This window comes from Homo sapiens, chromosome 1, assembly GCF_000001405.40.
Source record: "Homo sapiens chromosome 1, GRCh38.p14 Primary Assembly".
In the NCBI taxonomy this organism is placed as follows: Eukaryota; Metazoa; Chordata; class Mammalia; order Primates; family Hominidae; genus Homo; species Homo sapiens.
The window spans coordinates 3327621-3351224 of NC_000001.11; the positions used below are offsets into that span (position 1 = coordinate 3327621).

Consider the following 23604-nt stretch of genomic DNA (forward strand, 5'->3'; position numbering starts at 1 on the left):
AGCTGAGCCTTTTCTTGGAGGCGGAGGTTACAGTGGCAGGGATGGGCACAGTGGATGATGGCGTGCGGGTACTAGAGGGGATGCCAAGGCCCACTCAAAGCGCCACCACTGCACTTGGCCCCCACCCACCTGCAGGGGAGACCTCAAGAGATTCACAGTAACCCCACATGGGGGTCCCAGAGCCTCAGGAGGCCCCTCGCCTGCCCCCCAGCACTGGCTGATGCTGGCAGTGCCCTGGGAAGCCAAGGCCACTGTTACCCCCATTCCACAGATGGGGTTCAGCGGCCCAGAGTGTGTGACCTCACCCACAGCACAGAAATACAAGTTCACACAAGCAAACAAGTTGGAAAATGCTGGGTTTTCTCAGAGACCCCTTGGGAAAAGGAGCAGGAGTCTCTGGGGACCGGAATCCCCCACAGGAGGGAAGACCTGGGGGACTCGGGCTGGGGCCTCCAGGAAGCTGGATGTGCTAGGCGTTGGGGTCCCAGAGGCGAGGCCCCTGCCGGGCCAAGTGGGGAACTAGCCAGGCCTGCGAGAAGCTCCAAGATGCCCCCTGTCCCCAGGCACCACAGCCCTGTCCACACCCCCAGCTGTTGTGACTGAGGGACTTGTTCCCTGGTCAGGTTTCTTAATCTTGAAACTGCTGACATTTGTGGTCAGATAATTCTGTTGTGGGGAGCTGTTCTGTGCAGTGGGGGGTGCTCACAACATCTCTGCCTCTGCCCAGTAGACAACAGTGACAACCAGAGCTATCTCCTTGGTCGTGGGCCAGGGGCTTTGATGACAGGGCCCTGCCTGTGTCAGCCTTCCTGGGGGAGGTCTAGCAGCATGCGCGGAGCTTTCGTCACTCGCCTGGCAGCCGGGGCTCTTAGGAAAGCAGGTGGGAAGCAGGCGGAGACCCTGTGGGTTCAAAGGGCACGGGGCCCTGTGCTGCCAGCCGAGGGGTCCTGTCTGGGCTGCTGCAGTGGATGCGGCTCCCATCAGAGGGTACAGCTGTCTCCCCTAGAACAGAGGCCTGAACAGATGCTTTCGGGCCAGGAGTCTGTTTTATCAGACCCAGGAAGGAGACCCCCCAGGGCTCCAGAGACTTGGCTCGGGCATCAGTGCCTGGTGAGGACTCTGGCACATGGAGCAGCTCACGCAGCTCATACGCAGAATCTGCAGCCAGGTGGGGGCTTGGGTTTGGGCCATTGTCCGACCCTCTGCGCCTCCATTTCCTACGTAAAAGGTGAGACACAGAAGCCAATGCCCACGCCCTGGACCCCCCGTTCAGATTCAGTGAGACCGTGAAGCCCAGCATCCACAGGGGCCTGCCGGGGGAGGGCACCAATGCTGGCGGGTAGGGAACTCCCCAGCCCCTCCCAGGCCAGAGGAGAACAGGGGCCCAGCCAGACCCTTTCCCCCCAGGCGAGGAATGGGCGCCTTCTCCCTGGGCCCCTCCTAGGAAACTTGTGGCCCCTGGACCCCTCTTCCACTCACCACCTCTGCCCCCAAGGGCCTCCCAAACTGCCCAGGGAAGGCACCAACCACATCCTGTCCCAGCAGTTGTAGGTAGGAAGCAGCACTGACCAGCAGCCTTGGGCCAGGCACAGCTGCCCAGCGGGCATGGTGGTGTTCGTGGTGGCGTTCCAGATGGTGCTAGGGCAGGAGGCAGAAATGCTTGGAGTTGGGGGGCTGGGGGCCTTTCCTCCCACTTCTTCATCTGAGGGGTCAAGCATCCGGGTAGGACCCCTCCAACCCACCACCCCCCACCCCTTCCCGACTGTGTCTCGCTATCCAGTTTTGCAGGAATGGAATTAATGGGATCCCCGGACAGAGCCAGGAGGGAGAGGCCCAAGCTGTCTCCCAGGCTGTAGTGTCGGGGGCCGAGGGGTTTGCAGCAACACTTAGTAACTTAACAGGAGGACCGTGGGGCACACTCTCTAGAGGCGTCCTGACCTCATCATCATCACAGGAAAACCAGGCAGAGGAAGGGGCTATGGGCTCACAAGGAGCTGGCCCCACAGGTGCCAGAGCCCTCCAGCCCAGGGCGAGCCTTCACACCCCTCTCTTCCAGCTGCCTGGCCCAATGAGTTGAGTGTGATTCTGGCTGTGGGAAGAAAAACATTCACAGGAGAGTGGGCAGGGGCACCCCAGGCCGTGCGGCTTCTGGAGAGAGGGGCACGCCTGGGAGAGGCCCCCACTGCCACCCACTGGTTATGGTGGGCTGTGTTCTCCGGCCTCCCATGCAGTCCCTGCCTTACCCACAGGTGCCCATGGCTGAGCTTGTGTTGGGCTGAGCCGAGTCCCGCCAGCTGGGAAGAAGTGCACCCAGGAGGTGGGTCAGGGGAAAGGACAGTTGTCTCTGGAAGGAGGCTTGGAGATCACTGTCCCTTTAAGAATGCAGGTCCTCTGCCAGGGCTCTGATTGCGATCACAAGTGATGATGGCAGAGTCTGCCCAGAGAACAGCAGCAGAGCCCTCCGCCAAGAGGGGTTAAGGATGCCTTTGAGACTTCTGGTCACCCACTTCACCTTGGGCTTGTCAAATCAAATGGTGGAGTTTAACTCTCGCCTGGCCAGAGCCGAGCAGCAAAGCTAGAGGCGGGGAATGAGGCTGGGTGGGCCTCAGACCCAAACACTTCTGAGAGCTCAGCAGGGAGGCCCTGGCTGGCAGACAGAGCAGGAGGCCCCGGACTCTTCAGAAACTGAAATTGGAAATTGGAGATGCTTTTTGTGTCTAAGTCTTCATCCTTTAATTGTCACTTGGCAAGGCGTCCGCTCAAGGCCTTCTCTGGTGGCCTTGTAAGAATGCAGGGACAAAATAATGCCAATGACAGTGGCCCTGAACAGAGAGCAGAGGCCTCACATGGCGCCCATTCTCTTCTGCTCTTCTTCCCATCTGCCCCTCGCTCCCTAGGCATCCCCACCACATCCCCTCTCAGCTCAGCGGGGGCTGCCTGGCTGCTGCCTCAGCAGGGGCCACTTTTCTAATCCTGGGGTCTCAGACACACCCTTGTGCCTCCACCTCAAATCCCAAGGCAATATCTGCCCCACAGCCTCAGGACCCACTTGCCAGTCCAATGGCAGAACAAACAGCCCAGAGAGGTTGTTGGGGAGGGTGGGTTTTTGAGAAGCTCTTGCAGTCATCACGACAGAGCCTCCTAAGCGAGGGCGAGTCAGACCCCAGAAACCTTGGATCTCTGGCCGAGTGGAGGTGCCCCTGGTTCATACAGGCCCGAGCTGCCCTCAGGGCCCTCCTCCCTCTGCCTCCAGCCAGAGACTTTCTCACCTGCTGCTCTGGGGCAGAAATCGGAGCCACCTGGAGTGTGCCTGCCAGGGTCAGGGGGTGAGGAGATAAGGGCCTGGCTTTCAGCTCACAGGAAGTGGGCCTGAATGCGGAGAATAGCAGCAATTCCATCTGATAAGGCCCCGCTAAACCCCACATTGACAGGCCCCACCGCCCACCCGGGCTCCAGGGGCCAAGGGAGGGGCCGCCAGCCCACTCAGCCCTGCAAGCTGCTCCTGCCCTTCGGCCTGGGAGGGGGCCTTCCTCTGCCCTGGCCTCCATACCTCCAGCACTTGGGTGGGCTTTGATCACCTGTGGATTGCAGGGGGGAAGCTGCGCAACTTCTCCACTGCCCCTTCCCCCTGCCAGCCTGGGGGGGGCGCATACTGGGAGTCTGGAGAAAGGCAGCCCCCCCCCGGCACACTTGGAGGTGGGGGGCATTCCTAGCAACCCCCTTCATCCCCGAGTCCATTGATGAATGGACCCTCTCTGCAGAGAACACAGCCCACCAGGGAATCCCCCAGATCAGGACCCCAGGTACAGAGGGGTTCAAAGCACGTTTGTTGAATGAATGAATGAATGAATGAACAGATGAGCGAATAGCCCAGGCTCCACTTCCAGGCTGAGTAACTACTACAAAGGGACACACATGGGACGGGGGCTGCCAGGAGGGACTTCTCTGAGCCTCGTTCTTCAAGGAGCCAGATCCCGGAAAGGAAACACATTCGTCCAAATCCTCTAATTTGCTGCCCAGAGGAATCCTGGTGCCCAGGGCCGCTGACAGCCCCTTCTGTGGGAATGGGCAGAGAACAGCCTTCCTCCCCGTTGCCTGGCACCCGGACCCAGGGCTCCTGGGCTGCGTCCTGGGCTCACCGTGGCTCTGCTGTGGGTTAAGCAACCCCTTGTTAGTAGGCTCCCCGCTCGGGTGGAATGGCTGTGAGCTGTGGCCCGGCCCCGTCTGTGGCCAGATCTGCACACAGCCCCGGGGGGCCTCAGGGACTCCGGGCTCATGACACAGACATCTCCACCTCTCAGGATGAGGGAGGGTCACCTCTCTGCCCAGGCAGTGGCTCTATCATGCCCCTAAAACATAGACTCTGGCCCTGGGACTGGGTGTGCATTCCTGAACAGGGGACGGGCTTGGAGGTCCCACCCTGCCAGGCTCCCTGCTCCGAAGCACCCGTGGGTCCCCCACCTCTGTCTGGCCAAGCCCCCGACCCTCCTGCCATGGCCTTCAGCCCCATTTTCAGGCTCCGCATCTCCCACTTTCCTGACAATGCGCTCACCTCTTTCCAGGCTGGCCTGATATGGGAGGTGCGTGCACTGGGAAGTGGTAATGAGATTCTGCCACGCGCTGTGTACTCGCTTCCGAGAAAATCATCTATTAATTGATTCCAATTACTCTTAATTGTTTCTCATACGTTTCAATTAGGCAGCCCTGTTGTTACAGCGGGAGCTGGATTAGGCGAGTAATCCCCAGGCCTCTAATGTCGGGGTGGTGTGGGCAGTGGGGGGCTCGGGGCTGGGGGAGGCCGTGGGGCGGCTAGGGAGCGGTGGGGGGGCGTGGCCTGGCCCCCCCTCGGTTCGGTTTGGTTTATTTTGTTTTGGGGGCTTTATGGGCTGTTGTTTTTTTCCATTCTAGATCGGTCTTATGCTTCAAGGGTTGATTTTTTTTTTATTGTGGCAAAATACATATAAGATAAATTTCTAATTTTAACCATTTTAAGGCGTGTCATTCGGTGACATTTAGCACATCTGCATTGTTGTGCAAACACCACTTCTGCCGACTTCCGAGAGGCTTTCACCACCCCAGGAGAAACTGCGCCCCAGCAGCACTCACTCCCCACCGCCCGTCCCCCCAGGCCCTGACTGCACCCCAGCAGCACTCATTCTCCTCCGCCCATCCCCCCAGGCCCTGGCAACTGCTGACCCATCCCTGTTCGGCCTCTGGATTTGTCCTCTCCATGGAATTCTATGATCTGTGTCCTTTGGTGCCTGGCTTCTCTCACTACGCATCTGTGTTCAAGGTTCTTCCTCACTGTAGCGTGGGCCAGTGCCTCACTCCTTTTCTTGGCTAATATTCTGCTGCAGACTCCTCTGCTGGTGGACATGAGTTCTTTCCACCTCTTGGCGATTTTGGACAGTGCTGCTATGAACATGAGTGTGCCTGTTTTTGTCTGAACACTGCTTTCAGCTCTCTTGGGTCTATATCTAGGCGTGGGATTGCAGGTCACACGGCCTTACTCCTCAGCTTACAGTGGCAGAGTCCAGGCAGCAAGGTGGTGGGGAGGAGAGCCAGGTGTCCTGGAGAGGTGGGTGCCTGTCCCTCTGCATCAGACACAGGGAGGCCCTCGTGGGGGTGAAGGAGGCTGGAGCAGAGGAGGCAGGAGTAGCAGAGACCCCCTTGGCGTGGCAGGGGTCTGGCTCAGAAAGCACAGGGCCTTGTGTGCTGGAGAAGGGGCCACTTCCCACAACGGGGAGGCTGAGCAGGGCCAGTGCTTTGGCCTGGCTGCAGGATCTCAGAATCTTGGGGCTGCATCTGACCCTAGGAGTCTGGAAACCGGACTCCAAAACGTGCCCTAGCTTTCCAGCTCATGTGGAGATGCAGGAAAAGGGGCTTCAGACCTAGAGCAGCACGGTGAGGGAGGAAAGATCTGCCCCTTTGATGAGCACAGACGTCTCTCCTCCAAAAAGCCTTCCTCCGAAGGCATCTAGAACCTTCTCTTGGCCAAGAGCCATCGCGGCTAAGGTCACAGATGTGGTGGTGGGGTTTGGATGTGCGTCCCCTCCAAATCTCATGTTGAAGTGTGATGCCTGATTTTGGAGGTGGAGCTTGGCAGGAGGCGAGTAGATCATGGATCATGGAAGGTTTGGCTCCATCCCCTTGGTGATGAGTGAGTCCCCCCTCGGTTAGCTCATGCGAGATCTGCTTTAAAAGAGTCTAGGACCTCCCCAGCCTCTCCCTCTTGCCCACTCTATCACATGTCACACGCAGGCTCCCCTCCCCTTCTGCCATGAGTAAAAGCTCCCTGAGGCCTCCCCTGAGCTGAGCTGATGCTGGTGCCATGCTTATACAGCCTGCAGGACCACGAGCCAATGAAACCTCTTTTCTTTACCCAGCCTCAGGTGTTTCTTTGAAGTAATGCAAAACGGCATAACACACGTAAAGTGCAGCTGACCTGGCACAGGATTTATTTACCAGCAGCGTGAGCCAGGGCACAGCCTGTGATTCCCTGGGCAGCTGCTTCCTCAGCTGCCAAACGGAGACAGGCTCACAAAATAACCCAAACCCCGAGGACGAGTGTTTACCAGGCCTTGAGCTTTCAGGAAAGAGGGAAGACAGAGCAGGCACAGAAGCTTCCAGACGATGAACTGCAGCCTGGCCCAGCCCAGCCAGGGATTGCCGGGGTTGGATGTAGGGGTTGCCACAGGTCCCACCACGTCAGGGACTTCCATCAGGAAGGGCACAAAGGCCAGGGGGAGATGGCGAGGCCAATGAGTATGCCCATAACCCACCCCCCCACATTCTCTGAAGAGAGCCCCAGATGTCACTAGGGTCATTTCTGAAGTGAAGCATGGCTGAGGACCAGGTCCTCAAATTCTGGCTCCCACAGGGTCTCTGAGGTTCCTGGCTGGCCGCCATCAACTCCTCTTGTGGGGAGGAAAGCGGGACAGGGAACCAGCCCTTGACACCTACAATGGCCACAATGCCTGCCTTGCAGAGGCTGTGCCCAGTGGAGGAGACCAGCCCAGCCCAGGGCTTCCTAGAGACCACGGGGCTCTGCTCCACAAAGCCACCACTGTGGCCTCCACCACCTCCAGGTTCACCCACGTCCTTCTCACGGATCTCAGCTCTGCCCATCAATCATCATCGCCAAGTGCTCGCCGGGAACAGAGCAAACGAACACTCACCCTCACTCAGCTCATTTCACTCCAACAGCCATCCTGCACTGCAGGCATTTTTAATCCACTTTATAGATGAGGAAACAAGGCCCCTGAGGTCGCCAACTAGGATCAGCAATGGCCTGCGCCTTCCGCGGAGGGCCATCCACGCGTCCAACCCCATAGGATGTGCCTGTACGAACAGCAGCAACATGACCCCATAGGCTCAGAGCCAGAGTCCCCAGCGCCAGCCCCGCCATGTCAAGGGCACAGCCAGAGAGGACGGGGTGGCAGGGAGACCAGGTTCCCCCCTGTGGCTTCAGGAGGGTGGGCGCCCTGAGAGAACTCGCTTCAAGGCCCCTGTCCCTGCCTGGAAGGAGCCCAGCGTGCGAATTCCAGCTGCCCTGCACAGCCCCAGCGTCCTGCTCTGAGGCCTGAGAGGAAGCGTGTTTGGGGAGCTGGTGTCTGGGTGCAAAGGGAAGCCAGATCACCACACCGAGGAAGGCACTTCAAAGGAGACTTTTCACAGCCTTCCGCTTGGGAAAGTGAATGAAAGAACGTTATTGACTGAGGGCTGGGGCCGGCCTGGAAATAGCAGGACATGGAAGCCCTTGGAGGATGGGGAACAGTTCCTCCCCTCAGGGCGTCCGTAGAGAACACGTCCTTAGCCCGGTCGCGTTAGCACGTCGCATGTCCGAAAGCGTGCTCAACAGGATTCTAAAGGGAGCAGAGTTTATTTCTTTTAACTTTTGACTGGCCAATCCAAACAAACAAACAAGGCTTCAAACAGAGCATTGGAGGATATCTGAAATCTAACCTTTGGCTGAGGTTAAAACACACACACACACACACACACACACACACACACACACACCCTTGGACATAAATCTGCAAATAAACTTTCCAAAGAAAAACACCTACTTCTTTCAAAATCCAGCCTTCTTCCCCGTTCTTTCTGGCATCCTGGTGGAAGGTGCTGGCCTGGCAGGGGCAAGGAGGACTCAGGAGTCCACAGAGCCCAGCTGCCCACACCTCCCCTGGCACCCCAGCCACCTCTGCCCAGGTTCACAGGAGGCCCGGGGGCCAAGTGCCCCATGCTCCTGCACTGAAGTGTGGGAGAGCTCAGACTGGTCTCCATGACCAGCCCAGCCCTGCTCGCTCTCTCTGGTCCTCAGAACCTCCTTACTGTGAACTCCGCTCCCTGAAGTCAGTCGTGGATCTGTCAGGCAGCCCCACAGAGGAGGCTGTGACGTCTCGACAGCCTGCCCAGAGTATCGCTGACGCTGATGTGCAGAACCCCAATCTCCACAGCTGTGCCTGAGAACAGTGAAGATGAAGGGAGAGAGGGTGTGGGGTCTGACTGCTAGGCCCAGCCCCTGCATTCAGGCTTACTGACCTGCCAAGATAGCGGGGGACATGCATATGTATCGGTGTGTGTATCTTATGTGCGCATGTGTGCACGTGCGTATATATGTATGTTGGAGTCTGTGTGTAGGTGTAGGCATGTTTATCTCTGTGTATGAGCACGTGTGTGTCTGTGGCTGTTTGTGTACATGCACATGTGTGTACATGCACATGTGTGTGTGCATGTGGAGGGGTGTGTGTGCATATTTGTAAGCAAATGCATGCACATGTGTGTTGGTGTGTCTGTGCATGTGTGTTTGCATGCACATGTGTGTTGGAGTGAGCCTGTGTGTGTGCACATACATACACATGTGTGTTGGTGTGAGACTGAGCGTATTCATGCACTTGTATGTTGGTGTGAATCTGTGTGTGAGTGCATGCATGCACATGTGTGTTGGTGTGAGTCTGAGTGCATGCATGCACATCTGTGTTGGTGTGAGTCTGTGAGTGCATGCATGCACATGTGTGTTGGAGTGAGTGTGTGTATGTGTGCACATTCACACACATATGTGTTTTTGTGAATCTGTGAGCACATGCATGCACATGTGTGTTGGTGTGAATCTGTGTGTGAATGCCTGCATGCACATGTGTGTTGGTGTGAATCTGTGTGTGAATGCATGCATGCACATGTGTGTTGGAGTGAGTCTGTGTGTGCATGAACATTCACACACATTGTGTTGGTCTGAATATATGTGCATGTGTGAGTGCATGCATCCACATGTGTGTTGGTGTGAGTCTGTGTGTGAATGCTTGTATGCACATGTGTTGGTGTGAGTCTGTGAGCACATGCATGCACATATGTGTTGGTGTGAATCTGTGTGTGCATGCATGCATGCACATGTGTGTTGGAGTGAGTCTGTGTGTGCACATTCATGCACATCTGTTGGTGTGAATCTGTGTGCGTGTGTGAGCGCATGCATCCACATGAGTGTTGGTGTGAGCCTCTGTGTGAATGCATGCATGCACATATGTGTTGGTGTGAATCTGTGTACATCTGTGAGTGCATGCATCCACATGTGTGTTGGTGTGAGTCTCTGTGTGTGAATGCATACACGCACATGTGTGTTGGTGTGAGTCTGTGTGCATGTGTATCTGTGAATCCCACTGTGAATTCTAATTCAGGAGACAGGAGAGAAAGGCCCCACCTGAGAGCTGGCACATTCTTCTCCCCAGTGCTCTGAGCATCCCCACCGCTTCCTCCATCGAAGGCACCCAACTGCTGCTCCTGAGGCTGTGGCCACTCTCTTTTCTGGGAGAACAGGTTTAGCAGGGTTCTTAGGAGGTGCTTGATTTCTAAAGCTGGGATCTTGTGGGTTAGAGTAGGGGCCATGCCAGGTCACCAAGACATCATCAAGGGGACCATCATCAGGGACCTTTGAGCTAGAGGCCCTTGGGGTGGGAGCTGGGGGAGACCCACCAGGTGCAGAGGAAGGCTGCTTGGCCACTGCGGGGCCAGCCCCCAACAGGGGCTGCGGGCACACACCATGCAACCATCTCTGCCCCAGGCTGGCTGGCTTTCCCTTGGTGTGATGCTGTGCGGTTTTCCATTTGGTCTCTCTGGTTGGGGATCCCCAGAGAGCACACGATAGAGTTCCTGGCTGACCGGCATTTCCACCCCTCGCCCTGGTGACCTGGAGCATGACACTGAGCATTGGTGCTGGAACAAAAGATGGAGGGAAAAGAAACAAAAGTCACACGCACAGGCCCACATGCACGGACACACACATGGGCACTTGTGTACACATAGATATGCACACAGACACATGTACACACATATGCCCACACACTGGCACGCACATGTGTGAACATAGTACACAAAAACACATGCACACAAATGAATACACACAGACACATGTGCACACATATAGACATGCACACACATTCACACAGACACGTGTGCATGCACACACGTGTGCACACACATGAACATCTAGCTTCATGAAGCTCTAGCCTCAGCTGTCATTTATTCCATTCTCATCCTTCCAGAGAAACAGGCGCAGCCGAATTCTCTTTGGGAAGTTGCAAGGACCCTCGCAAGGCAGGAGAAGGGGGCATACTGGGCCCCAAGCCTCCCAGATGCCAGGGCTTCCGTGGTCCTGCCAGGGGCTCCTGTGGCCTCAGATGAGAAGCCCCGTGGGGAACAGATGTTCCCTTGCTCCTCTGGGGCCCAATTCGAGGCCCCAGGACATTTGGCCTCTAGGCTTATCACAAACACACTGTCCAGGGAGCAAGTGCTCTGTTTACCCTTCAGTTATCTGAGCAGTGAACCAAGAAGCTAGGGCCAAGGTGCCCTCCTGGCTTCCAACCCGACTTCCTCATTTCAGAGGCTCCTTTCCAAGTGGGGACGGGGTGCCCGGGGAAAGCCGCCTCTTCTGTCTGACTGCCCAGGGTGGCCAGTTGATGAGTATCTCACCAGGGCTTGGCCTCTGGGTGCTCAGCCCCTCCACCTCCGGCCTGATAACCCGGGCTCCACCACTCAGGGTCCCACGCCATGAGGGCTGCTTGGCTGGCTGGGGAAGCTCCTGGAACCCAGGGGCTTGTGGCTACCATGCCCTCCTGGAGCCCCAGAGGCAGCCAGGACAGAAAGTGTCTGAGCACAGGCCAGGCCAGGGTCCTCTCTGGGCAGGACACACTGTGGACACACATGCCACCGTCCTGTTTTCTTTGGAGCTGACTGCAGCAGGCCGAGCCCATGAGGACAGGCCAGCAGAGAAAGGGCTGTCTGATGGCAGTGGACCATTTCTGCCCTTTTCTGTGCGGCTGTGCTGAGCTCCCCAGAGCCCAGCAAGCAGGAAGAAGCCCGTTGTGACAGTGACAGGCACCCCAGCAGCTGCCATTCAGGCCAAGGAGAGGCAGTTTGGAGCCCTGCTGCTGTCTGGGGAGAGTTGCAGCTTCAAGGCGATCGATGGGGAGCTTCCGTGCACTCCCCTCTCTGGCCTCCCCATGTCCCGCCTTTCCGGGTGCTCAGAGGCATCTCCTGCTCTCTCCTTCTGGAGGGCAGCTTCCTGGCCACCCTCACCTCCAGCTGCTGAAAGCCGAACCACGTTTTGTGGGATACTGCCCCCGAGGGAGACAGCTCACCCACCCACCACAGTACCATCAAAGACAGACGTCCTGCTTGTCTCGGTATCCCTGGCCCTTGCCCAGGGTGAGGCACAGGGTGGGCCTCCGCGCATCCGTGCCCGGAAGCAGGAACAGAGGGATGGGTGGATGAGTGGCAACCATCCTGGGTGGTCAGTAGGACCCTAGAAAGTGCTCAGAGCAGAGCGGAAAGGGCATGACCCCTACCCAGTGAATCCACAGGGGCTTCCTGGAGGAAGTGCTACTTAGGCTGGGATTTCAAGAGCAACAAAGCTTTGTTGCCCACCGAGCGATTCAGGCAGTGAGGTGGGAAGGAGCGTGGGAGGAGGCTGCGGAGCGACCATTGCCTTGGTCTCGCTCACACCTCCCACCTTGCTCGTGAAGGTGACAGTCCTACTGCGGACCCCTGGCTGCATTGTGTGTGTGGTGGGGGGTGTGCAGAGCTCAGTTACCCCATCTGCCTCAGCCTCCCTCAGAACTGTGGGAGACGGGGCTAAACTCCCCCCTCACCTGCCTCACCATTCCCTTCCCCAGCTGCTGGAATCCTCAGAGAGCCCCTGTCACTCAAAGGGAGGAAGAATCCACTCTGGCCAGGGCCGGTGCTAGGGCAGCCCAGCTCAGTCCCATAGGAAGATGCGGTTCTGTGCAGCAGCTGAGGTTGGAAGGGCCACCAGGCAAGTGGGGCTGGGGGGAACAGGTGTGCCATCCCCCGAGCGTGCCTCCTCCTCTCCCTGGGACCCGCGTGAAATTTCTGTCTGATGCTCCGTCAATGGCAGGCGATCTCTGCTGCGTATGGACGGATTCGCTGCCCAGGTTTGCAGGTCCATCCTCTGGAATCTGCTGTCAAGTAGCTTCATGGGTAAAGTGTGACCCTATTTCCTTTGGGTAAAACACAGGTGGGGGCTTCCAGGTCTGGGTCTGCCTCGGGGGATCCTCTGCTGTGGTAGCCGAGTCCTTACCTGGGCCCTTTGCACACTGTACCCCCTAAATCCCCAAGCAGACCCCACGAGCCCACCCTCCAAGCCACCATTGCCCCTCGGAGGGAGGTACAGGTGGTGGCCTCTCCCTCCCTTCACCCCGTTCCTGAAACAATTTGGGGACAGATGGCACCAGTGTGAGGCAGGAGCGTTTACCTGATCCCCATCTCAGAGGTGCTGCAAAACGCCATAAATACCAAACACCCGCTCCCGGAGAGCCAGCGCCATGGATCAGTGCATCTGGGGATGTCTGGAACATTCCGAGGGAAAATAAAACAATTATTTTTGACAACTTGCATCAATACCATCTACGTTTTTCCCCCTGCACAGGGCTCCCTCCCCCACTCTGAGTCTGTCCCTTCTACGCGTGTCTGTGTCTTCAGGAAATAGAGCCGGGACACTCAATAAGCCAATTGTTAGCTCCATCGATCTTATTTGGGGGCCTGAAAATTCAGCAGCCAGCACAGTGTTAAATTATTAACTAAATGTTTCCACTCACTGGGGACGTGTTTTGTAAAGGCCATCTAGATGAACAACGGCCTCTTTATGAAATTAACAGCCAAAATGGTGTCAGGGTGTGGGGCAGAAGTCATGGGGTGGCTGAAGGCAGAAGGCCCTGTGCACCTCCAGACTGGAGGACAGAGGTGAAGCTGGCATTGGGGGCCGTGCTGCAGCAGGACAGAGCTGGCTGGAGTCCTCCCTGGAGGAAGGGGAGCATGGCCCCCGTGAGCTGACCCCAGCGCACCTTCCCTCGGGCTGTGTGGCAGCTGAAGGCTCCAGGCTAGGGAGGGGGATGTGTCCAACCCCGCACGCTCCTTGGCCAAGTTGCTGCCCCCTGAGCCCTCGTTTCTCCCCCTCTGAGCCCTCGTTTCTCCCCCTCTGAGCCCTCGTTTCTCCTGGGCTATGATGGGTGAGCCATCCAGGCCACAGAGGATGTAGCAGAGCTGAGCAAGCTCCAGAGTGCAAAGCTCTCGAGAAGTGACTGTCGCCTGGTGGGTGTGGCAGATGGCGGCTGTCTTACCCCAGCCAGGTTTCCATCCCCGTTGGCAAGGGTAGGTCTCAGAGGGAGTGACCAGGGCTCACCTGTCCTCCTTCAGAGGCTGCAGGCCCTGGGCCTTGTGGTTGCAGCTGCTGCCTTAGAGAGCTTCCCATCCAGAGGGGAAGCAAGGGGGGCAACCTGGCGACTTTGCCCCATGCTTCCTAAGCAGCTCCTGAATGGAAGAATCGGGGTGGTCTGGCAGATGGAGATCAGTGTCCGGCCAGCCTGGCTAGCGAGACCCGCCGTGAAGCACAGACAAAGAGGAAGAAACCAGGATGTCAGAACACACACACACACGCGTGCGCACACACACAGAGGGTCCCTAACTTACGATCGCTCAACTTAGGAATGTTTGGCTTTACGACGGTGGAGAAGTGATCATAATAATTCAATAGAAAACATACGTCGGGTTTTGAGTTTTGATATTTTCCCAGCTATCAATTTGTGGCCCAACACCCTCTTGCTGTGTGGGGCAACAGCAGCAGCTGCCGCTCCCAGGCCAGCCACACAGTCATGAGGGTGAACCGCCCGCGCTCTGCAGCGCACTGTGTGGCCAGACGGTGTTGCCTGACTGTAAGATTTCCGAGGACATCTGAGGCAGGTGAGTCCGGGCTGTCTTCTTCGGGTAGGTTAGGTGTATTAAATTCATTTGGCTCACAATATTTTCAATTTATGATGAGCTTCTTGGGAGGTAACCCCATCTCAAGTTGAAAAGCACCTGTCCTTTTTAAATGTAAGGATGGGAAAGACCATGATTGAGGTTGCAGGTTGCTGGTGATCTTCCCAGCCCAGCCGTGCTCAGCCTGGATGAGGCAGCTAGGGAAACCCAGGGTGCACGATGGCCTCTGAGAGGGGAGCCTCGTGCCGGCGTGGCTCACCTGTGCCACCAACACCCTCCCCACCGAACCCCAGAAGTAACCTTGGAACCCACAGTTCCATACCAGGTCCTTGGGAGAATGAATGAACATATTCCTAAGACAATACTCTCCCAACTCCCAAAACACTTCAAGTTATTTGTGGAAAGTTCCAGGGGAGGAAAATTAACAACTCAAACCTGAGAAGCCCTCTGGGCAGGTGGGAGCAACCAAGCCACCCACTACTTCAGTGGCCCCTTCTGCCACGTCACCTCTCTGCCTGCAGGCAAGGCAGCTTGCTAAAATAAGTGTCCACAGTTAGCAGTGGCTAGAATAGGAAGTGACAGAGGTGAGTCTCAAACCAGGCAGTCTGGCCTCAGAGCCCCCATGCCTGTATGATGTGTGATATATACGGTAGCCTATACGTACCATGAGGGCACACTTGGATGACTTTGACACACGTAGCCACCACTAGAATCAACAGAAGGCTTTTCCATCACTCCTGGTCTCTTCCAGTCAATATCCCCCAAGGGCAAATGGCCAGCCGCTGTTCTGATGTCTATCACCTTGGATTCATTTTACCTGTCTTTGAACTCCGCATAAAGACATCCACGCATAAGGCACTGTTTTGTAGCCAGTTTCTTTTGTTCGACATGAGGATGTCTGAGGGCTATCTATGCCACTGCACTTGTCAGCTGCGTGTTCTTTTATTCTGTATGGCAGTAGCATGCATGGTATGAATAGATCCCAGGTTGTCTATCCACTGTCCTAGGCATGGGCGTTTTGGGTTGTATCAGATGTGGGCTATTACAGATAAAGTTTCTACAAGTATTCATGTGCAAGCATTGTGTGGACTTAAGTTTTCAACTCATTTCATTTTGATATAAATTGTCCAGGAGTAAAATTGTTCACTAGTAGGATACATGAATGTCTACATTTATGAGACAAATTGCTTTCCAAAAAGTTGTACTATTTTGCATTTCCACCAGCGGCAATGTGTGAGTGTTCCAGCTGCTCCGGTCCTCACCGACACTTAGTGTAGTCAGTCTTTTACATTATAACCGTTTGAGTGAGTGTGAAAGAATATCTCATTGTGGATCTAGTATGCATTTCCCAGATGAATTGTGATATTTTCACTGGGTATAAGTGCTTTTGTGAAGTGTTCGTTCAAGCCTTTTGTCCATTTTTAAATTGGATTGTTTGTCTTTTTATCAATTGATTTTTAGATCTTTATGTATCCTAGATACAAGTCCTTAGTCGTTTATATGTATTACAAATATTTTTCCCCAATGAGTGGCCTGGCTTTTTATTTTCTTAGCTGAGTCTTTTGATTGGTGAATGCTTTAAATCTCTTCCTTTGGGTTTAGTGCTTTGTTCAGACTTTTTTTTTTTAATTTTTGCTTTACTTCCTAGCTCTTCTCTCCTCCTGGGACTCCAGTTACATATGTATCAGATATTGTCCCACATATCGCTCAGGCTCTTTTCCTTTGGTTTCAGCTTTTGGTTTTTGTTTTGTTTTGTTTTTTTTGAGATGGAGTCTCGCTCTGTCACCCAGCCTGGAGTGCAGTGGTGCAATCTCAGCTCACTACAAGCTCCGCCTCCCGGGTTCTCCGCCTCCGCCATTCTCCTGCCTCAGCCTCCCAAGTAGCTGGGACTACAGGCATCCACCACCATGCCGGGCTAATTTTTTTGTATTTTTAGTAGAGACAGGCTTTCACCATGTTAGCCAGGATGGTCTCAATCTCCTGACCTTGTGATCCACCCACCTCGGCCTCCCAAAGTGCTGGGATTACAGGTGTGAGCCACCGCTCCCAGCCTGGTTTCAGTATATTTTTTCTATTATTTAGATTGGATAATTTTATGGATCTGTTTTCAAGTTCACTCACCCTTTCTTCTGTCATCTCCAACTTGCTGTTAAAAGCCCATCCTTGGGCTGGGTGTGGTGGCTCATGCTGGTGATCCCAGTGCTCTGGGAGGCTGAGCTGGGAGGATCACTTGTGGCCAGGAGTTCTAGACCAGCCTGGACAACATAACAAGACTCCCTCTCTACAAAAACATTAAACAATTAGTCGGTTGCGATGGTGCACCGTCATAGTCCTAGCTACTTGCAAGGCTAAGATGGGAAGATGGTTTGAGCCCAGGATCACGTCACTGCCCTCCAGCCTGGATAACAGAGCAAGATCCCATCTAAAAAAAAAACTAAGCCTATCTAGGGACTTGTTATTTCATGCAGTATACTTTTCTGTTTTGGAATTTTCTTTTGGTTTTTAATTATAATTGGCATTTCCCTGTTGGCATTTCCCCTCTGTTAGTTCATTGTGATTACCTTTGCCTTTAAGTCTTTGGACATATTTATAAGGTATTTTTAAATCTGCTGATTCTAACATCTGGCTCATATCAGAGTTGGTTTGGATTGGCTGTGGTTTTTTCTAGGCTATGGGTGACAATTTCCTGTTTCTGTGCACATTTAGTAATTTTTTATTGTATTGGATGTTGTAGATGACATTGTAGAAACTCTGGATTCTGTTGTATTCCTCTGAAAAGTTTTGGTTTTGGTTCTAGAGAGAGTTTCAATCACTAGGTGCTCACCCTGAGTTTGCAGAAGTGTGGCTCTACACTTTATTAGGTTGGGTCTTCTTCTGTTTTATCTTTAGGATTAGTCTTTGTTCTTAAGGCTCAGCCCTTCTGGGACTTTAGTGGAAAGCCAAAGGTGATCATCAAGCTCTTCTAAGTTGATGGGACTCAAATTCCAAAGCCCTGCTGTGGTAAGCAGCAAGTGAAATCTCTGTGTAGCTCTTGTTTTCTGTGGGGCCCTTTGCAACCTCCCTCATGCATGAGCAATTCAGGGGTTTGAGGGGTGTATATGCACACAGGAGGATCATGTCTCTGTGGCTCCTTCCTTTCCATGGTTTCTCCCCTCAACTTACAGATGCTCTGACAGCCTCACACTGCATCCTCTGACCCATCTGTCCCATAAGACTGCAGCTTTCTGCCCGAGTTCCAGCTGCCCTGTACCAAGTAGGCTGCACAGTGGCCTTGAGGGAATACCTGGAGGACAGTGGCCCTCACAGTGCACTGCTTTCCTTCAAGGGTTCAGTTCCTCCAGTTCCCACCTGCTTTTTGTTATTCTCTAGTGCTATCAAGTTTTTTTTGTTTTAAATTATTTTTTTCCAAGTGTATCATTGTTATCTGCAGGAGAGTACATCCAACAGAAGCTACTCTACCACTGTGGGAACCGGAGGCTCCTGGGCCCCACTCTTTATTATGCCACATGCACATCCATTTTAAGCCAACAGCCACACGCACCTCCACTGTGAGTTCTGTGGCCTCATTCTGTCATCCTTGCCATAGCCCTAGGAAGTGGCTAGCACGGCAGCATCCATTTTACAGGTGGCAATAATGAGGTTCAAACTGGCCAAGTACCCCACCTAAGGACACTCAGCCAGTAGGAATGGGACTTGGGTCTTGAATCCTGAGGTGCTGATGGCAAATCCCATGTTCTTCCCACTGTTGGTTCCAAATGTGTCACCGGGATGCAGCAGGACCCCCTCTGTGGTCCAGGCCACCCCTCGGGTCCTCCCATGCTGCCCTCTCGGGTCCTCCCGTGCTGCCCCCTCTGTGGTCCAGGCCACCCCTCGGGTCCTCCCGTGCTGCCCCCTCTGTGGTCCAGGCCACCCCTTGGTTCCTCCTGTGCTGCCCTCTCGGGTCCTCCCGTGCTGCCCTCTGCAGCCGAGGGTTTTTCTTGGCAGCTGTCTCACTCCACCCAGAGCTACACAGTCCCCCCACCCTGGGCTCCTGGGAGCCAACAAGAGCCCCAAAGAGGCCACGTGGCTGTGGGCCAGGGTCTCCCCCATCCAGGGGCCTGCGGAGGGGCTGCCTGTGAGCGTGCATATCAAAGGGGGCATTGAGGGGCGGGCTCCAAGGAGACTCATTCTCCGTCAACACCCACAATGTGGGCTTTGTGAGACCTGGCAAGGCTGCGCTGAGCTGAGCGAGAACTTTCCTTTTTCTCCTAGGGAGAGATTATTTAATTTAAAAATAATTGAATGTGGAAAATGTTGGATATGGAAACTGTTTATCAGGCTTCCTTTTTTGTTTCTCCCGTTGGCCCTGCCCCACGGCGGTGAGCGACGTACCCTTCCCCAGGACGTCTTGGAGGTGTTTGTGCGTCGAGTTCTGTGTGACATAGGCTGGGGGCTTGGGGGCTTCCAGTGGAGGAGCCTGATGGAGCTCCATGGTCAAGAGGGCCTGGAAAAGTCAGGGCCTTGGGCAGAACACGGGGGCCTGCCTGGTGCTCAAAGCACAGGGCGGAACACTCTGGAGACACTGCTGTCCCACGGTTCCTGTTCAGCAGCCTGAGCTCCTCCTGGAGCACCCGCGGCATACGTGGCCCTCCCGCCTCTCTGCTCACCCTGCTGTCTCCTTTCTCTCCCCTCCACCGTCCCCAGTCTTTGGGGGCAGGCAACACAGACACCCCCTCCACCTGCGAGCCTCTCGATGGCCAGCCAGGCCCACCCCTCACTCCTCCAAGCTGGCTGCAAGGAGGCACAGGCAGATGCATCTTCTCACCCCGGCTGCACCCAGACTGGGGTCACTTCTGGTGCCCAACAGCACCCACCCCACTGTGAGGTGAGGGTGGGTGGCTCTACAAGGGAAGGGGCTCCTCTCACGTTCGCCCGCCCCAGTGGCCTAGTGACCGGCTGAACAGACGGAATGAGTGACCATGCAACCAAGTGGCTCCTGAGCAGTTCCTAACACTGTTCACCGGTGCTCTGCCGCTCCCCTTTCGTGCTTCCATCTGTAAAATGAGGGACTCCAGGCAGGCCCTGGGGACACCTGAGTGTCAGGGCTGGCTTTGCAACCTAATCCTCTCCAGAAGTGCGCAGCACTCACCGGCAGCTTGGGACACCCATGAAGTAACTTGCAGCGACCACCTTGAGGGCCTCACAGGTGTCCAGGAAACCCAGGTGCCCAGTCTTTCCGGGGAGGGTGGAGGGGGTCAGTGTACAGCCCCGGGAGTGTGAGTGTGGGAAGGGGCAGGCGGCCGTCCCTCCCAGGACACTGGTTCCTGGATGATGGTCTTTCCACAAGGTTCTGCACCAGGCAGACAGGCAGAGGGGCTCCATCCAGCCCAGAGGTGGCCCCAATGCTTAAAGCGCCTCCACCCCATTCCAGAAGGAGAAACCAGGCCCAGGGAGGGCGAGACTCTCAGGGCCTCCATGCATGCTGGCCACAGCCACTGGCTCCCTGGCATTGGCCCAGGAAGGAGCCCGGAACACCCTGGGCCTGGCCCACGGTGGTGCAGGTCCCACTGGCGAGAGCCATCCATCTGCTCCTGGAAGGCCCCGCCCTCCTGCGTCTGGTCCCAGGCAGGCTCTGTGCACACTGGGTGGGAACAAGGGCCTGTAGAATCAAGGCAAGAGGCAGTCAGGGGGTGGGGGTGGGGGCAGAGCCGTCTCTCACTGCTGGGGAAGGTCAGTCCTCGGAGTAGCTTGGGAGTCCATGACCCTGCCCCAGGTCCCACTTTGGAGTCATTTGGCTCTTCTCAGACTTCTGGGGTAGCAAAGCTGAATGGGCAGGTTCCGGGCTAAGGAGCAAACACCATGCCTAGGCCTTGGTGAGAGCTGCGGGCTCCCCTGATCCAGATCTGGCCTGATGCCTGCTCCAAAGCCCCTGAGGGCTCTGGGCTGGGGCGGGAACAGGAAGGGCAGCCACCTGGTAGTGTGGTCAGGAGGAAGGGGTTCCTTGTGCAAAGCAGCTGCCCGAGCCCATCCCCTGTGACTTCAGGGTCCTGGCAGTGTCTGTGAGCAGCCCCAGAGCTGGTGCCGGGCACTGAGTTCCGTGAGCCTCTGGACACGGGGCTGTGCATCTCGGTGGCTCAGTCTGCTTTGGCCGAGGCTAGAACCGAACTTCTGGTCAGGCTGCCCATGCCTCTGGTCGGAGCACGGGGCAGCCTGTGTCCATCTGCTGGCAGCAGGCAGAGTTCTGCCCAGGTCGCAGAGGGGTTGCTGAGTCTCCCCAACCCACGTCCCAGCCTGGGGGGTCTGGCCCAACCGTAGCCCTCTGGGCCCCTGAACAGTTCTGCAGGGTTTTGGCTGCAAGGATGAGGCTCGCTGGCTCAGCCCAGGACCATAGGAATCTGCCCATGCCATGCAGCCCTCAGTGCCCACAAAGGCTGGGCTCCAGGCCCTGAGCTTTTTGGAGCAACTACTCGGCTGCCTGGCCAGGTCACTCGTTAGTATTCGTGTGCTAGGGCCCAGGAGAAGCAGAGAGTGGAGAGAGGCCAGCGGTGGGGGCAGCTCTTCAGCACCATCCCCAAAATCCGCGGGCCAAGGACATTTGGACAAAGAGCTGTCTTCATTGAGAGCAGTGGGCACGGCTTCTGCTGCCCACAAAGGCGGCTTGAATGGGCAGGGACAGTGGGGAGGGACATGCACGCTTCTTAAAGAGGCCCTCCGCCATGGCCTCCAGCAGAAGGAGGGGGGCTTCCCCGGAGCTTTGAACTCACAGTGCCCCTCTTGAGACATGACCTTGAATGTCAGGTGCCACCAAGCCCTGTCCCTGTCTCCTGACACTAGCTGTTCAGTTCTTCACAGGAACAGTCTGTCCTCCCCTCTGCCCTTGGGGACCGGGGCCGCAGTGAGCCTGGGGTGGGGGCCCTGGGGCTCACCCAACTCCACCCACTCTCCCAAAGAGCTCAGAGCTTCCCGCATCTGCAGTGGGCAGTTTTTCCACCCAGGCCAGCAAAAATGAGGGAGCGGCCCATGTCCTAGAGTCCGTGGTGGGGAGAGGCACCTGATGGGGCACCTCACTTTGAGAGGCATTAAGAGAAGGGTCCACCGGGGCAGCGCTGGCCTGGGAACAGCCCACTGGCATGGCTCTGTGCTCCTGCCTTTGGTGGGGGTGGGGGCGGGGCCCAGCATGGCCGGAGAGGCTGGGGCTTTGTAATAATCACCATAACGATTATTGAATTTGAAAAGCCAGGAGTCAATGCATTTCTGCACGATTTTGTCAGCAACAAACCACAGCCTCGCCCTGCCCCACCTCCGTCCGCATAGTGCCCATGGCCAGGCTGTCTGGGCGCAGCATTCCTGGGCCTGCTCTCTGGCTCCCAGTGAGGGTCCCCGCCCCACGGGAGATAAGATAGAGCTGGTGTCAGGGAGGAGGTGTGGACGGGGCCGCACCGGCACGCTGTGAGTGATAAAAGGGGCTTTGGAAAGGTGCTGACGTGGCACCGTGCTTAATGAGGTCATCGCCGAAGCTGCTGCCCCGATAACCTGGAGGTCAGGCTCCCAGCAAGTGGCCATGGCGGGAAGCAGGGCTGTCTGCACTGCCCGTCTCCACCCAGCACCCAGTCGGCGCAGCCACTGGGTGCCCATGGGGCTTGGCTCCGAGCTTATTTCAGAGCTGTCATCCTCAACCCAAGGGTGTCCTTGTCCCGGGGCAGCTGACCCCTCTTTCCCACTGGCTGGTGTGCTGGCAAGGGTGGCGGAGGAGCCGAGGCAGCCCGGCAGAGCTCAGGGCCGCCCGTGAAAGCCAGCCTTGGATGGTAGCTTCCCCTCCCTCCCACTCCAATGCACCCCGGCTTCCTGCGCTCTGGGGGTCTTCAAAGCTCCCTGGCTGAGCTGTCTACTGGGAGCTTTCTGTTCTCAGTGTTCACAGAGGCCTGAGCTCTGCTGGCCACGGTGCTGGGCTTGGGGATTGAGGAGCCTCCAGCCCTCAGCCTCCGCAGCCCCCGCAGCCTCCAAAGCCCGGGGCTGGGCTTGCTCAGGCGCCCTCTGCCGTGAATGTTTAGCTCTGCTCCCTCCCACCTCTTGAAAGCAGCCTCTTCTGTGCCTAGCGGGGTCCTGAGCCCTGGAGGAGACAGCAGTCAGAGGCCTGGACCTGACTCCTGTCTTTGAGGGGGGAAGAGGACAGGGCAGAAAAGACCTGGGGCCAGGTGCAGTGGCCCAAAATCCCAGCACCTTGGGAGGCCAAGGCGGGAGGAAGCCCAGAAGTTTGAGGCCAGCCTGGACAACATAGCAAGACCCTATCTCTACAAAAAATACAAAAATTAGCCTGATGTGATGGCATGTGCTGGTAGTTCCAGCTACTCAGGAGGCTGAGGCAGGAGGATCGCTTGAGCTCAGGAGGTCCGGGCTACAGAGAGCTGTGATCACACCACTATACTCCAGCCTGGGCGAGAGAGTGAGACCCTGTCTCAAAAAAATGAAAAGAAAAGATCTGGAAGTGGGAGGGGAGGCGGCTCTCTACCTCCAACCTGGGCACCCTTGAAGCCACCCCCTCTTTCCCTCCTGGGCTCTACTGCTCCGTCTGTGCAGCCTGGGGCTGCAGTCAGGGTCAGGTTTGGTGACACTTGGATCCAGACATAATGTGTGTTAAGATCAAGGGCCCCGGGCTGATGTGGCCTCCCAGCAGCCTGCAGGACAAGGGGAGGGGACCAGGGTGGCAGGCAGCTGTGGGCGGGTGGAAAGCAGAGCTGGGAGCCAGCCCTGCCCGGCCAGGGCTCGGGCACAGCTTGGCTCCATGCAGGGCCCTGGGAGCACCCAGAAGGCAGGGCTTTGGCACCATGCAGCCTCCCAGATGGCCGGGCCGGGCTGGTTCCTCCCTCCCAGGACAAGAGCTTTGTGTCTGCCGACTTCTTCCCAATGCCGCGTCCAGTGTTTTCCTCTTTCTGGGCCTCAAACTCTTTTTTGAGGCCAGGTGGGTGGGGCCCAGCCAGCGCCAGGCACTTCTGGCTGGGGGATATACACCCCCCAGTCCTTGCAGAGCCCACTCTGAAGGGGACTTGGGGATTCACTTCAGCTCTCGCTTTATTATGGAGCCTGGGAGAAAAACAAGTCAGAAGACCATTTCCAAAAATAGCCAGCAGAGAGCGGGAACTGTCTGCAGAGCTGCTGGTTGGCGGCCCTCTGGGCAGGGGCACAGACAGGCCAAGAGATCCCCGTGTCCTGGGAATGGCCGCTGGCTCGCTGGGCCAGACGTTTTGGGGGCATGTTCACCAGCTTGTGGGTCTCTGAGATGTGGGTCTCAGAAGCACCTGCTTCCCACGGGGTCCACCCCGGCCCCTGGCCAGTGCCAGCTCTCATCCCCACCAGGCA

The 23604-nt window shown here is 56.4% G+C and overlaps 1 protein-coding gene across 2 annotated transcripts in view, besides 6 other annotated features; it reads left to right on the top strand.

The window, feature by feature from the left end:
- PRDM16 (PR/SET domain 16) overlaps nt 1-23604 on the top strand; it is a 369419-nt gene that overhangs the window by 258418 nt on the left and 87397 nt on the right. The window lies entirely within an intron of this gene.
- Nucleotides 2695-3372: an enhancer, noted in NCBI's record as "H3K4me1 hESC enhancer chr1:3246879-3247556 (GRCh37/hg19 assembly coordinates)". NCBI's record gives its function as "activates a minimal SCP1, AML or CMV promoter by ChIP-STARR-seq in naive H9 embryonic stem cells {active_cell/tissue: H9 hESC(naive)}" and the evidence as "EXISTENCE:reporter gene assay evidence [ECO:0000049][PMID:30033119]".
- Nucleotides 11330-12145: an enhancer, noted in NCBI's record as "H3K4me1 hESC enhancer chr1:3255514-3256329 (GRCh37/hg19 assembly coordinates)". NCBI's record gives its function as "activates a minimal SCP1, AML or CMV promoter by ChIP-STARR-seq in naive H9 embryonic stem cells {active_cell/tissue: H9 hESC(naive)}" and the evidence as "EXISTENCE:reporter gene assay evidence [ECO:0000049][PMID:30033119]".
- Nucleotides 17909-22181: an enhancer, noted in NCBI's record as "VISTA enhancer hs1912". NCBI's record gives its function as "enhancer in: heart[4/4]" and the evidence as "EXISTENCE:transgenic organism evidence [ECO:0001131][PMID:17130149]".
- Nucleotides 18433-18932: an enhancer, noted in NCBI's record as "H3K4me1 hESC enhancer chr1:3262617-3263116 (GRCh37/hg19 assembly coordinates)". NCBI's record gives its function as "activates a minimal SCP1, AML or CMV promoter by ChIP-STARR-seq in primed H9 embryonic stem cells {active_cell/tissue: H9 hESC(primed)}" and the evidence as "EXISTENCE:reporter gene assay evidence [ECO:0000049][PMID:30033119]".
- Nucleotides 19288-20088: an enhancer, noted in NCBI's record as "H3K4me1 hESC enhancer chr1:3263472-3264272 (GRCh37/hg19 assembly coordinates)". NCBI's record gives its function as "activates a minimal SCP1, AML or CMV promoter by ChIP-STARR-seq in naive and primed H9 embryonic stem cells {active_cell/tissue: H9 hESC(naive and primed)}" and the evidence as "EXISTENCE:reporter gene assay evidence [ECO:0000049][PMID:30033119]".
- Nucleotides 20089-20888: an enhancer, noted in NCBI's record as "H3K4me1 hESC enhancer chr1:3264273-3265072 (GRCh37/hg19 assembly coordinates)". NCBI's record gives its function as "activates a minimal SCP1, AML or CMV promoter by ChIP-STARR-seq in naive H9 embryonic stem cells {active_cell/tissue: H9 hESC(naive)}" and the evidence as "EXISTENCE:reporter gene assay evidence [ECO:0000049][PMID:30033119]".